At 49.4% G+C, this 4454-nt stretch overlaps 1 annotated feature.

Annotated features, from left to right (window-relative positions):
• Positions 2143-2643: an enhancer, noted in NCBI's record as "H3K4me1 hESC enhancer chr17:30022898-30023398 (GRCh37/hg19 assembly coordinates)". NCBI's record gives its function as "activates a minimal SCP1, AML or CMV promoter by ChIP-STARR-seq in naive and primed H9 embryonic stem cells {active_cell/tissue: H9 hESC(naive and primed)}" and the evidence as "EXISTENCE:reporter gene assay evidence [ECO:0000049][PMID:30033119]".

The raw sequence follows: 4454 nt of genomic DNA on the forward strand, positions 1-4454 counted from the left end.
CTGGTGGGCAGGCTCACCCCCACATCAGCCTAGGCCCTGGCATTGCTTACCAGCTCCTTCCCCACTGGTGAGGGGACCCAGGGAATATCTGCTGCTGTCCCCAGGGACTGACGTGATGGGGCTAGGTTGTGAGCCCTGGTCGGTCTGCAAGTGTCAGATAGGATGATACATTAAAAGCACAAAGCACAGCACTTGGCTTCTCTCAAATCCTCCATAGATGTCAGTTAGCTTGAGTACTGCCAGATTAGAAGCTCTCGTGGGCAGGGATTGTGTGTTTTGTGCCTATAAACTCTGGTAACTACTAACTGAGAAAAAACACACAGTACCCTGGGGAAGAGCAGGAGTTAGGACTGTGGCCAAGAAAGAATGCATGAAAGAGACAGAGAAGAACGGTCAGGGAAGTAGGAGAACCAAGGCGGTATTTTAGCCTAGAAACTAAGGGAGGAGAGAATGTTCAGGAAGGAAAAGGTCATGGTGTCAAATGCTGCCAAGAGGCTACAGAGGGTAAGAATGAAGCTTTTTTCCTTTGGATTTTGCACTTAAGAGCATGAGAGGCCTTTGTAAAGGTGTCAGTGGGGTGATCAGATGGCAGAGGACTTCATGGCCAAGGGAGAAGAGACAGAGAATTAGGGGGCTCCTTCCAGCACAACCAGAATAACTAGCACTTATGGAGCACTTGACATGTGCCCACCCACTGTGAAGCATATTTTGTACAATATTTCAGTAATTCCTGTCAACATCCTGCAAGGTGTGCTATTGTCCCCATCCTAACATGATAAGATCAGATGGCTTAAATAATTTCCCCAAAGTCACACAGCTAAGAAGAAGGAGATCCAGGAGTTAAGCATGGTTCTCTTTGATTTCTTAACTTGAGTCTTAATCAATGTAGGGAAGAGAGGAAGAATAGCAGAAAGGGGCCCCAAGGTGGCAAGGACCCAGGATCTGGGACTCAGGAGGTTGAGGATGCCCCCTTCTTCTGGGTGCTGTCTATCTGAGCCACTTAGTCTAAACCAAGAGTTACTTTGATACCATACATAGTTTTACAGGCTGAAGGAACTTCTCTGCACCCCTGATTCCATAATAAGCCCTTTTGGCAGTGTGAGCCAATGAGGAAGCTTCTGGAAGAGAGTTGAGCCCCGAATCCTTTGAAGATTAAAACAGGCAGGGTATGGTGGCTCACACCTGTAATCTCAGCACTTTGGGAGGCCGAGGTGGGAGGATTGTTTGAGGCCAGAAGTTTGAGATCAGCCTCGGCAACACAGGGAGACCCTGCCTCTGTGAAAAATAAAAAAATTAGCCAGGTATGGTAGCATGCACCTGCAGTCCCAGCTACTCAGGAGGCTGAGGCTGGAGGATCACTTGAGGCTGGGAGGTGGAGGCTGCAGTGAGCCGATATCATGCCACTACACTCCAGCCTGGGCAACAGAGGGAGACTCCCTCTCAAAACAAACAAACAAACAAACAAACAAAAAACAACCAAACCAACAACACACACACACACACACACACACACATATACACACAGCATTCACATGAGCATAATGTTCAAATTTCCATTATCTCAACTGGTCCTCCAACCAGCCCATGGTGGACACACGGAATCATCCCATTTGACATATGTGAAAACTGAAGCTGAGAGATTTTGTCAGGAACTGAGGCATCTGAGTGCTACAGGGTTCTGCTGAGAGTAAACTGAAATCTTGTTCTCTGACCAATCCTGCCAAGAGACCAAGGAGAAGGAAATCACAGAAGACAGTCCAGGACGAGTCATTCATTCATTCATTCTGCATTTATGTGTTGACCACCTACTATGAGCAGACCCTGTTCAAGGCAGAGATTTAGAGGCAGAAAGACAACAATCCCTGGCTTCAAGCTGGGGAGACAGACGAGAAAACAGATGGTGACTCAATACTTCTGTAAGTGCCAGGGAAGCCCAGAGGCCTTGGTGCAAGGATGCTGGGATGGGAGGGGCTGCACTGCTAGGAAAGGAAGCTTGAGGTGCAGCGCTACACCCCTGAACATGAGCAATATCTTCCCCATTCTGGTGCTCTTATCAGGACAGGGCAGCCAGACACCAAGACACCTGTGGGTGTCCTGCCGACCCAGACAGCCCCGTCAACAGACCTTGTGCTGTCCACTTTCTCTGCAACCTCAATAGCAAGCCCCGGCCAGACACTGCCAATGGGCTGAGGTCTGGGGACAGAACCTGGACCCAGCATGAGTCAGGCTCAAGACAGTCTCATCCTTGCTAGCAGCTCTGCGTGACCCGGGCCACTCAACTCACACCCCTGAGCCTTGATTTCTTCATCTGTCCAGTGGGGTCAGGCCTACCCCTATAAGCCACCAGGAGAATGAAATGGGGTCATGTCCATGGCAGGGCTTTTTCAGCCGTGAATCTCTTTACGAAGAGCAGAGGCTTTTTGTCCAAGGCTCCTGGTGCATTCCCAGCACTGAAGTTCGGGACAGTCCTCGCCTCCCGACAAAGGCAGTGGATGAGTTAATTCTTAAGCTCTTCAGCCCGTGGAGAGCAGAGGCAGAGCAAAGGGCAGGCCTAGAGGCCTCTTTTGGAAATGACAAGATCCATTTAGCAATCAATTAGCACAGTCCCCAGGCTCCGGGCCTGCACACTCGGCAGAAAGAATGCGTCCTGCTGCACTGATTAGAAACAGATGCGCTGGCAAACAGAGCTGGCCGAGCAGGGCCGGAATTCCTGGGCACCCAGCTCCTGGCTGGGAGACGGGATTTGTTATTACATTCTGGGCACCGACACAGGGAGGGAGGCCAAGGAAACCAAGCTAAGAGAGCAGCCTGCCTGGAGAATGTCTACCTTTGAGAAGATTCAGAGGCAGGAGGGGGAAGAATGTTGACTCTGTTAGAAATAATCTGGGATAAAATTAGTTCAGCCAAATACAGAATATGACTTTTGACCAACAGATGCTAAAATTCCAAATGTGACAAGGCCGACAGATGAGGAAATGAGTGACTTGGGAGCTTGGCAAGTGGCAGGAGGCCTGAAATCTCTGGTGTCTTGGAAAATGACGCCCCCATTGCCAACCTCATTTACAGAGCTATTGTGTACAGGGCCCCGCAGCAAGCCCTTCGTGTGCTATCTCATTTATTGATCACAGCCACCCTCTTATTTCACCCATTTTGCAGATGAGAAAACTGAGTCACACATAGGTCCAGCAACTTGCCTAAAATTGCACGGCTAGTAAGTAGCAGATCCAGCGCTTAAAGCCAGCTGTCTGACTTGAGAGGCCCCTCTCTTGGCCATGATGGTATTAATTCCTCTTCTTTCAATTCATTCCTTCTCCCTTAACAAATGAAAGGGCAGCTTTGAGCTCCTCTACCACAGTCTCGAAGCACTGCAGGAAAGGTCCACTGCAGTGTCCCTAACAGTGGTCAGCAACCTCGGTTATACTCTCCCAGTGACGAGGGGCTCACTGTCTCTTAAGGCTATGCTGCCTCTAATCTTGGACAGTTTGCAAGGTTGGCCAGTCTTTCTTCTATTAAGCCAAAAGTTGGGTCCCTGCAAGCTTGAGGCGTCCCCCAGCAGTGCTGCTTCTGCCCTCCAGATTCCCTTAGAAGGCAACTAATTCTTTTTCCCTAGGACCATACCAGGCCATAAGGATGGCCCTATCTTTATTTTTTTAAGCAGAATAGCCTCTGTTTGAGCAGCTGCTGCCAGCACGGGCAGCTGTGGTGCTCTCATCTCATCACCGACACATTCCCCTGACACCTTCCAACCCATCGATGTCCCTGGTGGGTCCGGGCATGGACGTGAGGGTCAACCAGGTCTCCCATCTCCCAGCAGCACAAAATGGAACAGCCTTTAAAATATTATTTTAATATGGTTTGTTTGCCATTACAAGAAAGATACATTCTCACTAAAGGAAACGTAGAAAATGCAGTGAGCAGAGCAAAAGTGCCTCCCCAGAGAAAGAAAAATCACCCATGATTCCACCTCCAGCCTTTTTTGCTATGCTTCATTTTTAACCTTGCTTCGTTTATTCTATAGCTACACATCGCATCCTACCCCAAAACTGGAGAGACAGACAGGAGTACACAGAAAATCACAACTTAGCAGGACAGAAAACCTGAGCAGAAACCACTGTGGGAACCAGTATTGGGGCAGGAAAACCTGAACCGTAACTGGTAATTGCTGGAGTCTCAGCGTGGACGAGTCTGAGAGTAAAACCCCGAGGGAGCCCAGTTGCAGGCGAGCCCTCACTCTTGTGTGAGTCTTATCTACAGGAGCTCTAACAGCTTCTCACAGTGATGATCAGAGAAAAATCCAGTGTTCCCAGCAGGAGGAGGTGAAAAGTAGCCATTCTGAAATGCACCAGAGCATTCTGTTCTCTGTAAGAAGGATGGCCGGGCGTGGTGGCTCACGCCTGTCATGCCAGCACTTTGGGAGGCTGAGGCGGGTGGATCATGAGGTCAGGAGTTTGAGA

Source organism: Homo sapiens, chromosome 17, assembly GCF_000001405.40.
Source record: "Homo sapiens chromosome 17, GRCh38.p14 Primary Assembly".
NCBI classification, from domain to species: Eukaryota; Metazoa; Chordata; class Mammalia; order Primates; family Hominidae; genus Homo; species Homo sapiens.